The 18,305-nt window shown below is 54.0% G+C and overlaps 1 protein-coding gene across 13 annotated transcripts in view, besides 3 other annotated features; it reads right to left on the reverse strand.

The window, feature by feature from the left end:
- PTPRN2 (protein tyrosine phosphatase receptor type N2) overlaps positions 1-18,305 on the reverse strand; it is a 1,048,768-nt gene that overhangs the window by 945,119 nt on the left and 85,344 nt on the right. For 11 of the 13 annotated variants that reach the window (XM_047420679.1, NM_001308267.2, NM_130843.4 and 8 more), the window contains exon 2: positions 5,561-5,611. The exons of the other annotated variants lie outside the window; for them this stretch is intronic. In XM_047420679.1, the coding sequence (XP_047276635.1) occupies positions 5,561-5,611 (51 nt within the window). The remainder of the gene's footprint in view (positions 1-5,560; positions 5,612-18,305) is intronic. 13 annotated transcript variants of the gene reach the window in all.
- Positions 10,649-10,818: an enhancer, noted in NCBI's record as "experimental_98034 CRE fragment used in MPRA reporter constructs". NCBI's record gives its function as "activates a minimal promoter by MPRAs in K562 erythroleukemia cells, with activity observed for the introgressed 7:158287600 variant allele {active_cell/tissue: K562}" and the evidence as "EXISTENCE:reporter gene assay evidence [ECO:0000049][PMID:34662402]".
- Positions 13,027-13,582: an enhancer, noted in NCBI's record as "H3K4me1 hESC enhancer chr7:158289893-158290448 (GRCh37/hg19 assembly coordinates)". NCBI's record gives its function as "activates a minimal SCP1, AML or CMV promoter by ChIP-STARR-seq in primed H9 embryonic stem cells {active_cell/tissue: H9 hESC(primed)}" and the evidence as "EXISTENCE:reporter gene assay evidence [ECO:0000049][PMID:30033119]".
- Positions 16,129-17,074: an enhancer, noted in NCBI's record as "H3K27ac-H3K4me1 hESC enhancer chr7:158292995-158293940 (GRCh37/hg19 assembly coordinates)". NCBI's record gives its function as "activates a minimal SCP1, AML or CMV promoter by ChIP-STARR-seq in naive H9 embryonic stem cells {active_cell/tissue: H9 hESC(naive)}" and the evidence as "EXISTENCE:reporter gene assay evidence [ECO:0000049][PMID:30033119]".

Raw genomic sequence — 18,305 nt, forward strand, 5'->3', positions numbered from 1 at the left:
TTTTCTGAATGTTCAGAGTTCCGTGACCACCTCACCGTCCACCTCAGAGCCTCTCAGTACCACCAAAGGGAACCTGCCCCTCTGCCATCACTTCCCATGCCCCCAACACTTTCCCCAGCCCTACACGGCCACAACCTACTTTCTGTCTCTACCGACTTACCTCTCCTGGACTTATTTACTTATTTATTTACTTATTTATTTATTTAGAGACAGAGTCTCACTCTGTTGCTCAGACTGGAGTGCAATGGTGTGAACTCGGCTCACCGTAACCTCCACCTCCCAGGTTCAAGCGATTCTCCTGCCTCAGCCTCCAGAGTAGCTGGGATCACAGGCACGCGCCACCACGCCCAGCTAATTTTTGTATTTTTAGTGGAGACGGGGTTTCACCATGTTGGCCAGGCTGGCCGTGAACTCCTGATCTCAAGTGATCTGCCCGCCTCGGCCTCCTGAAGTGCTGGGATTACAGGGTGAGCCTCCGCCCTGGCCTCCTGGACATTTTGTATAAATGAAATCATGTCCCCCGTGACTTTTGTGACTCGGTTTCTTCCTCTGAGCACGGCGATTCCCAGGTTCCTCCGCGTCAGTGTGCCGGTGCTTCCTGCCTCCCTTTCCACGGCCGGACAGCACTCCACCATCACAGACGTCCTCGGTTCCTGGTGGTTTTCTGCCCTCTTCAGTGGAGAAAGGGCTTGGAATAGAAGAAGCTGCAGTTGGAGACGTGAAGGCTGTGGCTGTGACGCCGCCACGGGGAGTCGGCTGCAGGAGGAGCCTCCCCACCATCAGCGTGGCCGGCGGAGTGAGCCACGAGCGCAAGGGCACCCCTCCCAGCCGCTGTTGCTGTGGCCCCGGCCGCCAGCGTCCCGGGAGGGCACCTGCGGAGGGAAGGCAGACACCCTGCAACGGCCCGCAGGCCCGTGTCACCTGGGCCACCGAGCGCAGGGCTTGTGGGTCGTCACAGCATAATTCAGCCTTGAGCCACGAGACACGGAGCCGACAGGTGTGTAGCTGAGCCATCCTCCCCCACCTGTCAGTCACCATTCTTCCACCTCCCTCCAAACGGAGAGCGCGACTTGCTCCTCTTGCCCTCCTGGACGTCCGGGATTTCCGCCCCTGGGCTCCAGCGCTATGGTGTGGTCGTCCTGACGCACTCTTAGAAGCTCGGCCACCCCTCTGCGCCCCTCCTGCTCGGCCACCCCTCTCTGCGCCCCTCCTGCTCGGCCACCCCTCTCTGCGCCCCTCCTGCTCGGCCACCCCTCTGCGCCTCTCCTGCTCGGCCACCCCTCTCTGCGCCCCTCCTGCTCGGCCACCCCTCTCTGCGCCCCTCCTGCTCGGCCACCCCTCTCTGCGCCCCTCCTGCTCGGCCACCCCTCTCTGCGCCCCTCCTGCTCGGCCACCCCTCTCTGCGCCCCTCCTGCTCGGCCACCCCTCTCTGCGCCCCGCCTGCTCGGCCACCCCTCTCTGCACCCCTCCTGCACAGGCCTCTCCTCCTTTCTGAGCTCAAAGGGAATGGTGGTTCCTTCATGTGCCTCCTTCCCACCTCTCTTGTCCTTTTAGCAGGAACATGCTCACGTGAAAAACTGGAAAACCAGAGAAATATGAAGAAAATAAAAGTCACTACCCAGAGAGAGCCACTATTCACAGTGTGGTGTATTTCTTTGAGCTTTTTCTGCTATCCACATTTTCGCACGGCTGTCATCGTATTAGATGCTCAGTTTTGGATCCTGAGTTTTTCATTTACTTTCTCCCACCTGCATTTTCCGACGTTATTAACAACTTTTTGAACACTTCTCTTTTAATGTCTGCTTAACATTTGAATCATGTGACCATAACATAGCTTTAAAGAAGCATTCTCCTTTGTTTAATATTAATGATTTGTCTACTGTTTTAAAATTAATACAAACACCACTGCAGAGAGCAGCTTTGTGCTTCAAGTTTTCTTTAGTATTTTGGGTAATGGATTATTTTATTGGGGCATATTCTCACACATCAGATTGCCGGGTCACGGGCCACCTCCCTTATGTGGCGTGAACGTGCTGGCCAGTCAGCGTCCATCACGATCACGTCAGGCCATGCTCCCACCAGCAGGGCGTGAAAGCGACCAGCTCACTTCCCGACATAAGCGTGATCTATTTTAATCTTCATAGATTTGTTTTCCTTTTTTCTATTGTGGAGTAGTTGATTATTATGCCTTTAGAATGTTTAGGACATACCACCTGTGTTTGGATGTGTCCCATTTAAAGTTATCAACCATGAAATCAAATCCGCTTTAAAAATTCTTTGAAACCTGTTTTCCTCATATTTAGGATGCCCATGTAACAGCATCTAAACTCTCTTTTCTACAAGCTGTTCCAGGATTATGTGATTGCTTTATCTTAAGCTTTCTCTTCCAGAACCCTTACAGTTTTTTCTATAATAACCAAAGTTACTCCAGAGTTATGAATTACCAAGGAATTGACCCCCAGGGTCACTTTAAAGTTTCCAATCACGACTTCCTCCTGAGGGAGCTGGCCTAAAACCCTTACAGCTGAAGCATTCGATTACGTTAAATGAGCATGTGCAGAGGCTGCAGTTTCATAGTTCCAATTGCATATTGTGGTAAAATATACGTCACATTAAAATTTACCATCTTAGCCATTCTTAAGTGTACAGTTCGGTGGTGTTAATTACATTCACACTGTTGATCAGTCATCACCACCGTCTATTCCCAGAACTCTTCCATCGTCCCAAACTGAAACTCCACCAATTAAACACTGACACCCCAACTGTCCCCCAGCCCCTGGCCCCATCACTCTACCTTCTGTCTCTATGAACTTGACTATCTTTAGTACGTCACATGCGTGGAATCATTCAGTATTTGTCCTTTTGTGACTGGCTTATTTCACTCAGCATAACAGCCTCAAGCTCCCCCCATGTTTCAGCGAGTGTCAGCACTCACTTCCTCTTCAAGGCTGCGTACTATTCCATCATGTGGATGGACCACGTTTCACTTGTCCATTCGCCCATCAGTGGACACTGGGCTGCTTTCGCCTTTGGCTGTTGTGCATTAACTGCTATGAATATGGGTGTGCAAACAGCTCTTCAAGTCTCTGCTTCCTGTGTTATGGGGTACGTACCCAGAAGTGGGGTTGCTGAGGCAAATTAAAAACTCTATTTTTAATTTTTTAGGAAACCACCATACTGTTTCCCTCAGCAACGACGCCATTTTACATTCCCATCAGCAGCGCACAAGTGTTCAATTTCTCCACATTCTCACCAACACCGATTTTCAGGGGTTTTTTAATACTAGCCATCCTAATGGGTGTGAGGTGGTATGTTTATCTTTTGACTTTCTTTTTATTAATAACCTCTGTTGGGCTTTTAAAAAACATATCCAAGCTTGATAAGATTATATATTCCTACACGTACCTTAAGAAAAGAGAGGGGGAAAGAGAGAGAGTGAGCCAGAGGGAGAGAAAGAGACCCTGCGGCTGGTGACAGAATGTTCTAGACTCGCAGCCGCCCCCCACCGCACCCTGGGCTGCCGCACCCCTGGCCCGCCAGCCTCGGGCTAAACCAGTCACCATGGCAACCATAAATCTGAGCCAGCACAGGAACCACTTCTCCTATCGCTCCCCGTCAGCCTCGCAAAGCGCAGTTTTCTAAGACTGGGCACCACTGGCTTCGCTGTTTCCTAGACCTTCAGTGCATCATAAAAAAAAAAAATCAAATATCATCTGTTTCTACAAATCAAGGCCTGAATATGTGTATTTACATTTAAATTGCTTTTCCTTTCCAAGGAATCCACAGTCATTATCTGGATATGATGTTGAGACGACTCTATGTCTGGGAGGCAAGTCAAGGTTGAGGAGAAAAATGTCTGAGAATGATCACAGTCGGACACCCAGGCCGGCCTTTGTCAAGGAGCCGGGGAGACAGCCTCGGCTTTTATTCTGCTGGGGCTACTTACGGCTCCAATTAAATTAAACACACACACCTGCTTCCATTATCATCAAAAGCTGTTGAGTCCAGGCAGACGACGTAGGATTTTCAATATCGCTATTTTTCTTAAGGCTGCCTCCAAATTAAAGCTGCACGGAGTAGATGCCAGGGAGCCCCAGGGGGTCCTAGGCTGGGCCAGAACCTCACCCACCACCCACACTGCACCCCACGAGCTGCCGGTTCCCACTTGTCACACTCGGCACAGGAATCTCCCGAAAGAAGAGAAAACAGCAGAAGCTGCCGCCGCTGAGGACCTGCTCTCCTCTTGGCGCCTCCACCGTGGCTTCCCTTCCCGACCCCAGAAGCTGCCTAGGCACAGACACAGAGGTGCCCCCAGCCCCAAAATTCCATCCGGAACCCAGGGCTGGTCCCACCTCAGGGCGCACGAGCTCCTCGGTTTCGCTTCTCAGACCCTCAGAGGCATTCACCTCGGCTCCCCCTGGATGCACCAGTGCAGGGGAGGCCTGTCCTGAAAGGCCCCAGGAGGGCGGCACCCCAGGCCAGCGCCCTGCCCTGCACCTCAGTCCCCCGCCGGCACCCACGTCTGTGCAGAGATTAGTGGGTGCGAGGGGCCTCTGGGCAGGCCCCGCCATCCTCGCTAGGATTAAATCCGCTCCTGCCCACAGTCTGAGGACAGATGCGCAGGGAGCTGGGGAAAGAGAAGGCCTCGCTCAGTGCGCCCCGGGCCCACACGCAGCCCCTGACTTGGAGAAAGGCGGCTCCGCCCAGCGCTTTTCTGAGGATACTGGAGTTTAACCCTCCCCTGCGCGTTCAGAGCGCACAGCGCCCAGTTCACCAGCATGACAGGCCCGGGTGGCGTCTGCCCTGGGAGATGCCCTCTGCCTGACCGCGCTGGAGGGAAGGGGCTCTGCAGGACCCGCTGCTCGCCGTATTTCATAATAACTGCCGTCCTCATGGGCTTTCAGCCCAACCTGAAAACACAGCGTTTGCACTGTTTTCTTATCCGCCTGATAAGAGAGGAAAATCAGTGGCTTAAAGGACGAAAAACCTGGCCGGGCGCGGTGACTCACGCCTGTAATCCCAGCAGTTTGGGAGGCCGAGGCGGGTGGATCACCTGAAGTCAGGAGTTCGAGACCAGCCTGGCCAACATGGTGAAACCCTGTCTCTACTAAAAATACAAAAAATTAGCCGGGTGCAGTGGCGCACGCCTGTAATCCCAGCTACTCAGGAGGCTGAGGCAGGAGAATCGCTTGAGCCCAGGAGGCGAAGGTTGCAGTGAGAGGAGATAGCCCCGCTGCCCTCCAGCCTGGGCGACAGAGCGAGACTCTGTCTCAAAAAAATTTTTTAAAAAAGGATGAAAAACTTGCCGAAGGACAGAGCAAAACAAAATCAGAAAGCAAGGGTTGGTGCGAGCGATGGGCGCCCAGAACCCGGGCAACCTCTTCTCCCCACCCACCGAGGCCGCAGCCCATGGCTCCGGGGTTCCATCCGCCTCCTCTCGGCAGCGCGCCCCGGGCGGCCCCAGCTCCAGGCCAGCGGCGGGGCTCACCAGGCTGGGCGCTGCGCACGGCGGGCAGGAGAGGGGCAGACCAGGGCGCAGCAGCCAGGACCCCACACTCACCGTTCACACAGGCCTCGGACGCTCCGCAGAGGCCCTCCTCGAGCAGGCAGCCTGCGGGGAAACAGAGAAGAGACGCGGTCAGCTGGAGGGGAGGAGGGGGGTGCCCCCGAGGCTGCCTTCCTGGCCCCCTGGTGAATTTCAGAGAAACCGCCGGTCAAGCAGGCTCCTCCGACCCGGCTTTTCCGAGATGGGGCCGATTATTCTGAAGCCAGAACGCTGCGCCCCTGACCCGGCCACGTGCGAGGCCTCCTGGCCTAGTCCCGGAGCCCAGCTCTCACCTGGACCAGGCCCACAGCTCTGGGCTGAGGGTCAAGCCGGCGTCATCACAGGAGACTCTCTGGCCGCGGGAGCAGCAGCGGGGCCGGGGCCTCCCCTTGAGGCCTCCCCTGGGCCCGGCGCCTCCCCTGGACCGGGTGCTCACCGCACGCACCGCGTCCCTGGAAGCAAGGCTGCCGGGCGCCGGGGAGCGGAGGCTTCCAGGGAGGTAACGAGCTCCGCGGGGAGCCCGGCTGCGTGGGAAGCAAACCGTGGCGTCCGTGGCCACAGACAAGAGACGCAGGAGAGGGTCGGGAGAGGAAAGGAGGCAGCGGAGGCAGCAGAGACGAAGACGGGCAGGAAAGGCCAGCGCGGCTGGGCCAGGCCCTGGAGGAGACGCGGGGCAGAGGCAGCGCCTCAGTCCCCACCCAGGAAGGGGCTCCAGAAGCTCCGCGGTGCCTGGGTGGCCAGGCGACCCCAAGCCACGCATCCCCCGCGGCCGAGCAGGCTGGCAAAGGTTGGCGTTCGGCTCCACGTCCACGCCTGTCTTAAACACAGAGAGATGGGTCCAGAAAGCACCACCCCGCTAGGGAGCGGCTCCCGCGAGGGCGTGAGCACCCTGGACACCAGAACCGGGAGGGCCCCAGGGCCACTAGGCGGGAGTCGCACCGCCAGCAAAGGCCAGGTGTGGTGTGAACGCGCAGTGTCTTTCACTCATTCCTGCAAAGCACAGTGCCTTCAATGCTGCTTCACCAGCCGACAAACGCCTGTTCATCCGCTAAGATCCCTGTGGAAGCCCCAGACTCTCCCGGGGCTGCCCAGGCGTCCTTTTCGGGACTCGCCACACTGTGCAGTGACTGTGGATTGAGTGTGTATTTCCCTCTCCTGGAGTTCAGGAGCCGGGCACACGCCTGTTTCCACCCTCTACTGTTTCCTCCCATGCCCTCTGTGTGTCTGGCACAGGGCAGGTGCCCAGGAGCAAATGGGTGAACAAAGAAACTGAGGAATCTGGAGAAAGTTATGAATTACTGAGGGATTCACCCCCAGGGTCACGTTAAAGTTTCCAGTCACTACTTCCTCATGAGGGAGCTGGCCTAAAACCCTTACAGAGGAAGCCCTTGGTTGCCTTAAACCAGCACGTGCGGAGGCTTTAAAACTAAACGTCATTCCAGACCTAAGGCAGCACAGAGCCTAGCAGGACCCAACGCTGGGAGTTCACAGGAGGAGGCAGCCTCGCTCGTCTCACAACAGCTTCACGAGCCTTCCACAGTTGCAGGGCGGCCCCTGGCTGGGATCTGCTTCCTCCCAGGAGGTGGCCTAGGTGCAGCCCTGGCCTGCCCAGCCAGTGCCTGCCCAGCCCAGTGCCCACCACCATCGCCTGCCAGCAGTCACAGGCGGGTGGACACCCCACCCATTGACGGGAGCCTCCAATCCAAGCAGAGATTGTTTTTGGTTTGGGGGAGTTTTTGTTTGTTTTGTTTTGAAATAACAATCTCATGAAAAACAGATTTTTTTTTTTGATGGAGTCTTGCTCTTATCACCCAGGCTGGAGTGCAATGGAGTGATCTTGGCTCACTGCGACCTCTGCCTCCCAGGTTCAAGCAATCCCCCTGCCTCAGCCTCCCAAGTGGCTGGGACTACAGGCGTGCGCCAGCATACCCAACTAATTTTTGTATTTTTAGTAGAGACGGGATTTCACCATGTTGGCCAGGCTGGTCTCGAACTCCTGACCTCAAGTGATCCACCTGCCTCGGCCTCCCAAAGTGCTGGGATTACAGGCGTGAGCCACCGCGCCTGGCCAGCATTTCATTTCTTAATCCCATTTACCCATCAGCTAACCCCACATTCAGTCTGCATTCTCTGCATTATTTCTTCATTCAACAAGTGTCTGAGCCAGGCAGAGGAGGTGAACGGCCTACAGGAGCGTGGCAGGGAACGTTCTGAGAGACACACACCTGGCACTTGAACAGCAGGAGGAGAGGCAGACACCACTCCCCACAAAAGCAGTGACCTTGAAAAGGTCAGCATGGAGGTTAGAGGTCCTCTCAGATCCTCACGCAGTGACCTCCAAGGCTCCCCTCACTGCCTCCCAGAGGGAGAGCCTCAGCTGTGAGGGCCCCTCCCGCCCCAGGCACACAGAGGCGCACAGAGAAGGAGCTGGGAGCAGTAAGGATGTGACCACACCGGAGATGTGCTGGAGGTTAGTCCGATGTCGTGGAACGTCCCTGGTCCCGGCTCTGGCAGGAGCTGCAGGACTCTGCTCAGGATTCTAGGGTGCATCTCCAGCGTGGAGGAACAGAGACCTTGGGGGAAGGCAGATGCAGGGATGCTGCAGACACAGCTCACGTTCTAACTCCATGTTTGTCACGTGGAAATGGCAGATGACGGAGCTCTGCTAGGAGAGGCACCGGGAAGAAAGCCCCTGTTTTCTTCCCATCTCTGCCTTAATCGTGGCTGACAGTTAGATGTGATCTGAATGAGATGTGCATCAAATGATCTCTTGGATCCTGACCTTGGAAAACCACCTGTTACTGGCATGTGCCCAACCTGATTCGTTACTCCAGAGGACTGATGAGAAGTGACAGTGGAAAACCTGCAGCACTCCTTGGTGAGAGGCAAACACAGCAGCAGCATTTCACATGATTACCAGAGCTGCAAATGTTATGCATATTTCACCCAGCCAGTGGATATGCTAATTTGACTGCTAAGTTATTTGTTCTAAAATTACGAAAGAGCAAATTTCATTTTAAGTATCAGCCACCTACTAATAGTAATTATGACCATAAATCATCCAGAGAAAAGACATTTTCTCTGGCAGACACTGGTTCAACCCAGCCCAGGCGCCTCGGGCACACGCCTTCCTCGAGTGGGCTCCACACCCGCCATGTGGCGGCAAGTGGCATCCTGGACTTGTGTACCCTGTCGGCTCACAGACTGCATACACTAAGGTCCAGATGTCATTCTGAGGCCAAGAAGCTAAATCCACAAGGAAAGCCAACAGCGGCCTGTGGGGCCCTTAACCTTGTGTGCCCAGCACTTAAAACTGGAATTCCTTCACTTCAATGTATTATCCACCCTTTTGCATGAAAACATGTGACATTCCCCAAATTCTCAAATTGCTCCTCTGCTGAACCCTATAGCAGGGCTGTGGTGCTCAGGGGTTCCTCCTCACTCTGTATTCACAGGGTATCCCTCCTGCTTCAGCACAGAGACAAGCACATCCAGTCATGAATGCATGTGCACACATATACACACATGCACCCACAAGCATGTGCACACATATACATACACACATGCACACTCATACATGCATGCAGTCATGCCCATTCACAGGCACACTCATGCCTGCACACATACACACACGCACACCTGCATGCATACACACATGCACACACTCATACATGTGAGCATACACCTGCAGACACGTACACGTATGCACACACGTACATGGGTACACTCATGCATGCATGCAGTCATGCCCATTCACAGGCACACTCATGCCTGCACACATACACACACGCACACCTGCATGCATACACACATGCACACACTCATACATGTGAGCATACACCTGCAGACACGTACACGTATGCACACACGTACATGGGTACACTCATGCATGCATGCAGTCATGCCCATTCACAGGCACACTCATGCCTGCACACATACACACACGCACACCTGCATGCATACACACATGCACACACTCATACATGTGAGCATACACCTGCAGACACGTACACGTATGCACACACGTACATGGGTACACTCATGCATGCATGCAGTCATGCCCATTCACAGGCACACTCATGCCTGCACACATACACGCACACCTGCATGCATACACACATGCACACACTCATACATGTGAGCATACACCTGCAGACACGTACACATATGCATGCACGTACATGGGTGCACGTATGCACACGTACATGGGTACACTCATGCATGCTGATCTTGTTCTGATTCTGCTTCCCTACTGTGTCCTCAGAACTCTAAGCAGTATCTTGTCACCATTGTGGTGCCCCTTTTTTCTTACCCTTCTCAAGATGAAAATGGATCCAGTTTTGCAAGGAGTCAGGCTGGATCTGCCTCTCTTACCCCAATCACTCCTAAGAGATGTTTATGGAGAGTTTGTTGTTCATTGTGGAAATACAGTAAATGTGAACAGAGCCCACCACCTCTCTCACTGGCTGGGAGGAAGCTCGGCACATCCTGTACCACATGCACCTGCTCTGCTTCCTCCCATCTCTGGGCGTCGCTGTGGCCAAGGCAGACATGGCCTAAAAATCCATGGCCCCTGCCCAACCCTGTCTCTACCACCACCGTGGAAGGCCCTTCCTGGGTTCAGGCTTCTCGCCTGACTGCCATGAGGGCAGAGAAAGGCTGTCATCAGCAGCAGGATGCACACGCCTTCTGAAATGTGTGCTACACTTTCCACTGAGGCCCATAAAATCCAGCTGATGTGAGCTGGCATCCCACAGCAGGAACCAAAGAGGGAGGAGGGGAGGTTCCTGGACAGCAGGCTCAGCACCGGCACCTGTTGCCTCCAAGCTGCAGACAGGACTCCTCAGAAGCCTGTGAGCTGCTGGCCACTCACTAATCACCCTTCCTGAGAGGGGCTCACTGAAGACCCTGCTTTGAGGCTGGAATGACCAAGGCCCTGGGATCCAACTGCAAACAGGAAAGCATCTTCCCAGACAGCACCAACACACACAGCAACGGGAACGCCAGGACCCCGTGGCTGTGCAAACATGGAGATGCAGGTCTGTTGGGGAAGTTGCTGAACCTGAACTGGGACAGCCCCTGAGAAGGGGATGCGGGGGCTTCACCTGTGTCAGCACCACTCACTTGGTACAAGGAACACACACAGATTTCCTCATCTAAAAAATATAACGAAGCAGAGTGAAGTAATCTATACCCAGCCTTTTCCTCCCTGGCCCCGCCAGCCTCCCCCGCTCTTCAGAGCTCACAGACTCCACGCCCAATCCGACCCTGTTACTGTCAGTCACTCTGTGTCTTTGTCCTGTCCCCCTCTACAGCCTTAAAAAAAACCATGCCAGCACCCCAGGAACCCCAGTCCCTACTGCCTGGAGCAGGTCCTTTGATGACAGATGTCACCTGCAGCAGTGGCAGTCTCACCACCGTGGGTTTCAATGCCAGAGCCCATCCCAGATGTGATTCCTGTCAAAGCCATGTTTCCCACCTCTCCCTGCAGAAAACGCTAGGGCTTACGACAGCCTGAGGCTCTGGGGTTATGTTAAATCACATTTTTTCCTAGGAACGAACGCATCATCATAGAAAAGGAAGGTGCAGTGTTTGAAGAGATGCTCTTTTTAAACATCATCCTCATTTTTAACATTCTGGAGAGAGAGCAGGGTGCCCAGGCTCCAACCCCACCTCCTCTGCAGCAAACACAAAGCCATGCACCTGGCAAAGCCTCCCTTCTCCCTTGCATTCTCAGATGTAAATGAGGATGCGCCCTGCCCACTGCAGGGGGGGTAAGAGTGAAGCGCCTGCCTGCTGGCAGGTGGGCATTGCCTGGGCCATAGCTACCCCCCAATCTCAGCATCCCCTCCTGGCAGCACAGACCCTTGGGACCAAGGAGTCCCCACACCCCACTGAGGTTTTCTAAATGTTTCCATCGGATCGAAAACAACGTGTTAAACCAGGGCGGCATCCAGGCAGGAATAGAAAGCCATTTCCACATTAAGAACCCCTATTCTAGGAATCAGCCTGAAAAGTGAGAGATTAAAGCGCCTCAGCCCGGAGGCGGGGCTGCCTCTGCCAGGCTGGGCGTGGGAGGACAGAGACCCCCAGACCCTCATCTCAGGCAGCCCTGCGGTCAGGGCATCTGGCTTCTGTGGCCCAAGGCTCAAATGAAAGCTGTGATTGCAATTTCAAAGACAAAAGGAAGAGGGAGAGAGGGAGGAGGAAGGCTCCTCCCAGATCTGTCTCTGACAAGAGGGAGGCAGCCCTGGCAGCTCCTGCCAGGCCTGATTGCCCATCCCTGACTGTGGCTTGCGGACAGGGCTTGGGGGGCAGCAGGGGGCAGCAGGAGACAGCGCTCAGCCCCTCTGCTGAGAGCCTATGACCAAGGGACCTGGCAGCGGCCTGGACGGAAGCCAGCCCACCTCCACATGAGAGGGACTGACTGCTTCCCTGAAAGCCCAGTCCCAGTCTGGGGACAACCCCTGCAGTGTCCCCCTTCCCTGCAGCCTCCCCCTTCCCTTCAGCCTTCCCTCCCCTTCCCTGCACCCCTTCATCTTCCCTGCACCCCCTCCCCTTCCCTGTGCCCCCTCTCCCTTCCCTGCAGCGTCCCCCTTTCCTGTGGCCCCTCCCCTTCCCTGTGCCCCCTTCCCTGCGCCCCTTCCCCACGCCCCTTCCCCCTTCCCTGCGCCCCCCTTCTGAGCCCCCTCCCCTTCCCTGCAGCCTCCCCCTTCCCTGCGCCCCCTCCACCTTCCCTGAGCCGCCCTCCCCTTCCCTGCTCCCCTTCCCCCTTCCCTGCGCCCCACCTTCCCTGCAGCCTCCCCTCCCCTTCCCTGCACCCCTTCCTCTTCCCTGCGCCCCCTCCCCTTCCCTGCAGGCCTCCCCCTTCCCTGCAGCATCCCCCTTCCCTGCGCCCCTCCCCTTCCCTGCGCCCCCTCCACCTTCCCTGAGCCGCCCTCCCCTTCCCTGCTCCCCTTCCCCCTTCCCCCTTCCCTGCACCCCTCCCCCTTCCCTGCAGCCTCCCCTCCCCTTCCTTGCACCCCCTCCACCTTCCCTGTGCCCCCCTCCCCTTCCCTGCTCCCCTTCCCCACGCCCCCTCCCCCTTCCCTGCAGCCTCCCCTCCCCTTCCCTGCACCCCTTGCTCTTCCCTGCACCCCCTCCCCTTCCCTGTGCCCCCTCCCCCTTTCCTGCAGGCCTCCCCCTTCCCTGAAGCATCCCCCTTCCCTGCACCCCCTCCCCTTCTCTGCAGCCTCTCCCTTCCCTGCGCCCCCTCCCCCTTCCCTGCGCCCCCTCCCCCTTCCCTGCGCCCTCTCCCCCTTCCCTGCGCCCTCTCCCCCTTCCTTGTGCCCCCTCCCCTTCCCTGCACCCCCTCTCCCTTCCCTGCGCCCCCTCCCCTTCCCTGCGCCCCCTCCCCCTTCCCTGCTCCCTCTCCTCCTTCCCTGCGCCCCCTCCCCTTCCCTGAGCCCCCTCCCCCTTCCCTGTACCCCTTCCCCCTTCCCTGTGCCCCTTCCTTGTTCCCTGCGCCCCTCCCCCTTCCCTGGGCTGCCAAGCAAGGGGCTCCGTTGGGTGACATGCAGCCCCACCTTGGCCAGGTGACCCAGCCCCACCCTGCCCACTGCACGTAGGGGTGGGTGTTGCTCAGTCCCCTTCACCTGCCGATCCAGAGTATGGAGCCCCCCAGTAAGTCCTCCCCAATTCTGAGGCTTTCAATCACAGCCCCAGCCCAGCGTTTTGGGGACCCGTCCCTTCCTTGCCTTGGCCACACTCTCAGCGCAGGGCATTTCTGGAGGTTGACACACATGGCTGCATTCCTCGCAGAGGAGGGTCCACAGCCAAATTGGTAGCAGGAGGAGGGATAATCACCCAGAAGATTCTGGAAACTTCAGCCTCAATGCCTCAGAGAGCAGGAAGATGGGTGCCCCATCCTGAGGACTGCACGGTGGCCTGGATCTTAGACCTACAAGGCAGGACCCCAAAACAGTTATTAAGTGGCATGTTCTCTGCGCCGCTGCACACTCAATTGCCATGAACGATGGGAGCTGACCGCTGGCAAGTTCAGGCCAAGGTTTCTCCTGCAGGCATGAGGGCCTGCCCCCTGCACAGCCTCTGGGCCCTGTTCCTGCGGGGACACCTGTCCGTCCCCTGTGCTGGGAGGAGGGGCCTGAGGCTCACACTCCTTCCATGCTGGGCCTGTTCTGCCGGGCACAGATGTCACACATGAGCAGGAGCTGGGAGGGCACACACAAACATGGATGAGTGACCGTGCCTTACTGCAAAGGTGGATCCTTGGGGCTCAGGCCCCTCCAATTCACCTCCACCCCATACGCCTGGTCAGTCCGCTCCATCACAACGGTGATGTGTGTGCTCAGCAGAGGCTGAAATGGCCAAGGTCCTCCTCACGTCTTTGGCTTCTGTAAAGTCAGTTCTTGTTTGAAGCTGGGGCCACAATTCTAAGGCAGTTCCTGATTTCAGATCCTCCTGTTCACAAAATCAGCTTCCCACAGAAAAAGAACCAGCTCACTCCACCCTGGAAGAAGGGCAGCGAGCTGGGTACCAGGACAACCATCAAGTCCTGTCATTTATTTTTAGGAAAAACAAAACCTCTTACTTTGATTAATTTCCTTATTTCAGGTTCCTAATTGCACAGATTTATTTAAACTCTCTTAAGAGTAAGAAATTGTACCAAATTCAGGATACCTACCAGAATTGTTTGTTTTATTTTTAAAGTCCAGGAGTTACTTTTTGGGAACCGCGCTCTCCATGCTACACATTCCTCCTTCATTCGTTTGAAGACATTAAGAGCAGCAACCTCAACTATATTTATTCTAAATGGCACGTGGTTTTAATCAGCTCTTGGTTTTTAATCGGCTCTGGTTTTTTGTCCTCGATTTCCTGAAATGGGATAATACCTTCAAAAGAAGGATGTTTGCTGAGTCATTCTTCGGGACTAAGAAAACATTTCTAACCTTGCTTTCACAGATAAAAAGTTAAAGACAAGCTTTGAAAAAGTATCTGATGAAAATCCTTGAACATTAAATACTGCAGGTGCAGGTAGCCAGGCTATGCCGGGGATGAAATGGTTAAGCTAATCTCAGAGAACTTCAACCGGTAACTCTCATGTGCTGGATTAAAATATAGTATGACCCATGAAAGAACAGTACCAAAAGTGAGAATAAAGTGAAGAAAGGTAGATGTATTGCTCAGGATTGCTGAGACATGGCACACGTGAACCACACAGCCTACCCTGCTGTAAACGTGAACTTTAGACATGTGGTACTTCAGACACATAATTTAAAAGGTAAACAAGCTTTTTAGCAGTACTGGGCTGACTTAGTTGTAGTCTCTGATGAAAGAGGAAAAATCCAGTTCATAGTTTCTCAGTCATTGTTAAAGCACCAAAGCCCTCTAACAAAAAGACCTTATCATCTCAAGACCCCCTTAGGAAATGTGAGTTATATCATCATTATCATCATCATCATCATCATGGAAACAGCCTCTCCCACACTTTGATGTGCATGTGAACCAGCTGGGCCCTGTTAAATGAGTATTTCTATTCCCTGGGCCTGGGACGGAGCCAAAGATTCAGCATTTCCAAAGCACTCCCTGGTGACTCGTCCGCTGGGCTGCCCACCACACTGAGAAGCAAGGGCATCACATGTAGAAATCATCCGTAAATTGAAAACTTGGGTCAGCACATTATAAAAATTGTTAAAAGTAAATTTAACAAACTCTTTACAATTTGTTTTCTGGATCCAAATTCTTCATCACCCGGATAACAAATGATTGGCCTTATACAAATTATTTTAGGCCAGGCCCAGTGGCTCACGTCTATAATCCCAACACACTGGGAGGCCTAGAGGTCAGGAGTTCAAGACCAGCTTGGCCAACATGGTGTTTAGTCTCTACTAAAAAATACAAAATTAGCTGGGCATGGTGGTGCATGCCTATAATCCCAGCTACTTGGGAGGCTGAAGCAGGAGAATCACTTGAACCTGGGAGGTGGAGGTTTCAGTGAGCCAAGAATGTGCCACTGCACTCCAGCCTGGGTGACGGAGCAAGACTCCATCTCAAATATATGTGTGTATGTGTGTGTGTGTGTGTGTGTGTATATATATATATACACACACCCTCCAGTGTGTGTATGTGTGTGTGTGTGTGTATAATTTTAAATTAATTATGTGGGGAAAATCATACATCAACTAATTTTTACAAATGTATTAGGTTCAGTTTTAAGACTGGATGTATATTTAAATATACATTGTAATTTAATTAAGATTTAAAAGACAAAAACTGCTTCCTGGCCCTGATGATTAGAACTCTTACACTTGAGCTAAAAAAAAAAAAAAAAAAGGTTTATTTTGAAAACTTTATTTTTAAGTGATGAGATAGGAAAGAATATTGCCTTCTGCTCCTTTAGACACCTGTCCACAAACACCACTCGCATTGTGGGTGAGAGGAATCTGCACTTACAATAATGAAAAGACAAATTAGATCCAATTGTTACTACAGTTTCCCCTTTTAACCCTGATATTTGCTACAGGCAACTGGATATGCCACGTGAGACCTTATCAGAGGATGGGACTGACACTTTAGGAGGATAGTCTGAGGTGAATTTGAAAAATAATTTCTTTTTATCTTCCTCTTGAGCTCGCTACATTTCCAGTGTGCTGGGAATTACTACCGTCCACTGTAGATACAGGTTAATTGACACAGAACAAAGAAGAAAAACTACTTAAAACTCTGTAAAAGTCCCCCAGGGAATTAGCAAGTCTCAGCTGGTGGCAGCTCTGGAGGGCACAGGTGCTGTGGGTCGTTAACAAAACCAGGCTTGGGCTCAAAAACATTTGAAAAATGTGAGTTGAAGTTTCACACACTCTTCTCTGTGGAACTCCGAACCTTCACTATTCCAAAGGGCCACGCTGGCTTCCCAGGAAGGATCCTGCAGACGCTGCCAAACGCCCCAGCCACAAAAACGTCCACCCGCTGCCTCTCACTGGGGCGCAGCAAACCAGACAACAGAACTGAAGTTGAAAGACGTGACCAGGGCTGTTAAACGCCATCCAGCCCAACGGTTTTCGCTCTTAAGCCCCTGCAGGGCCTGTTAGAACAAAGCTGCGGGGCCCAGTCCCCGAGTTTCTGACCTAATGCGTCCGGAGCAGGCCAGAGAACCTGCATATCTAACCAGTTCCCAGGCAAGGCCGGTGCTGCTGGGCCGCGCTCCTCACGCGGCGGGTCAGGCAAGCGGCTTGCACACGCGAGGGTGTGACAGGCTCCGGGCCACGTCCGCTGGGAGCTGGGCTCTGCGGCTTCCCGCCTCCCGCTCGGAGTCCAAATGTGTGAGGCTCGGAGCACTCAGGGCGCCCTTCCGGTAATGGGAATGTTATCAGCTTTATGAAGTCTGGTGCTTTTCTATTTTCATTATGTTAAAGCTTTTTTAACTATGACATTTTCGTGCCTTCCCAGGCAAAGCAGCAACAACCCACTTGCGGAGCCGCAGAGGGGAAATCATCACTCCTTCCTGGAAGGAAAGATGAGTTTTATCATCTCTTGTGTTTTAAGTTATCCTCAGACCCTCTCCCCGCCCGGGGCTACAGCCAAGCAAACAGAGCACTGCCCAGGGACTCCAAGGGTCTCAGAGCCTCTGTACCCCCCGATTTCAGCAGATGGAGCGCCCCAGTTCAGGAGGCCCCAGTGCTCGCATTCCTGCACCCAGGACGTGATCAATGGGCCAATCCTGAACGGGAGAACAGCCTGCCTTCTGCTGGGAAGCCCTGTTCCCATCCCCGACACAACGCCAGGCTGAGGCTGAGGCTGCCTTCTTGTGAATCTTCCAACCCTGTCCCCAGTCTGGGAGGCAGATCCAAGAAGACAGCTCTGTCAGCAGTCGCAGGGGGGGACCTCCTGCCTCCAGACAGCACAGCAGAGGGAGGGGCAGTGCCAGAGCCCCGGCCACCCTGTGTTGGAGTCAGAGACCACCAAAGGCGCTGTCACAGCGGCCTTTTCTGTGTAGCCAGGCAGAAAAGTCACCAAGGAGGCCAACGCGTGTTTCGGCAGCCCTGGATTTTTTGAAGTTTTATTTATTGAGGATATGTTGACCCGCCTGGAGCTTTCATTATCGATCTACTTAGTGTCATAGAGTCAAGTTCTACCCCTGAAAGTGAGACAGCCTGAGCCACCAGCACCGCGCCCAGCTCACATCGTGGCTTCTAACCGCGTCACCATCCTCCTAGCTCTGCGGATGCCTGCGATGTCCGAACTGCCTTAAGGTGAGGCGAGTGTCAGCACTGAACACAAAGCCTCAGGAGTGATAAAGCCGTCACGGAGTAAAACGCACCATCCTCTCCTCGTTCCGACTCTCTGCTCCTCTCCCTAGAGCTTGATTCCATCCCAGGGCCGGGAGAAAAGTGAGAGAAATTGATCTCAGCAGCTTCAAGCACAAGAAGAACTGGCTTGCTCTGGGGTAGGCAAACCATGGTCTGCCACTGCCATATGTTTCTGTATTAATAAAGTTTTATGGAAACACAGCCACGCCCACTTGCTTACAGATTGCCTATGGCCACTTTTGTCCTATAATAATTCAATAGTTGTGACAGAGACTGGCCTGAAAGGAAACAATTTTTACAAAAAAACTTAGCCAACTCTTGATTTATTAGAAGGAGATCAGGTTCTTCACAAGATCAAAAGAAGGTTAGAAAACTGACTTGGAGAAATGGGCAGGAAACAAGACAGGTGCCCACCAGAACACTGTCACAACCACACAGCACCATCACATCTGGAC

This window comes from Homo sapiens, chromosome 7, assembly GCF_000001405.40.
Source record: "Homo sapiens chromosome 7, GRCh38.p14 Primary Assembly".
NCBI classification, from domain to species: Eukaryota; Metazoa; Chordata; class Mammalia; order Primates; family Hominidae; genus Homo; species Homo sapiens.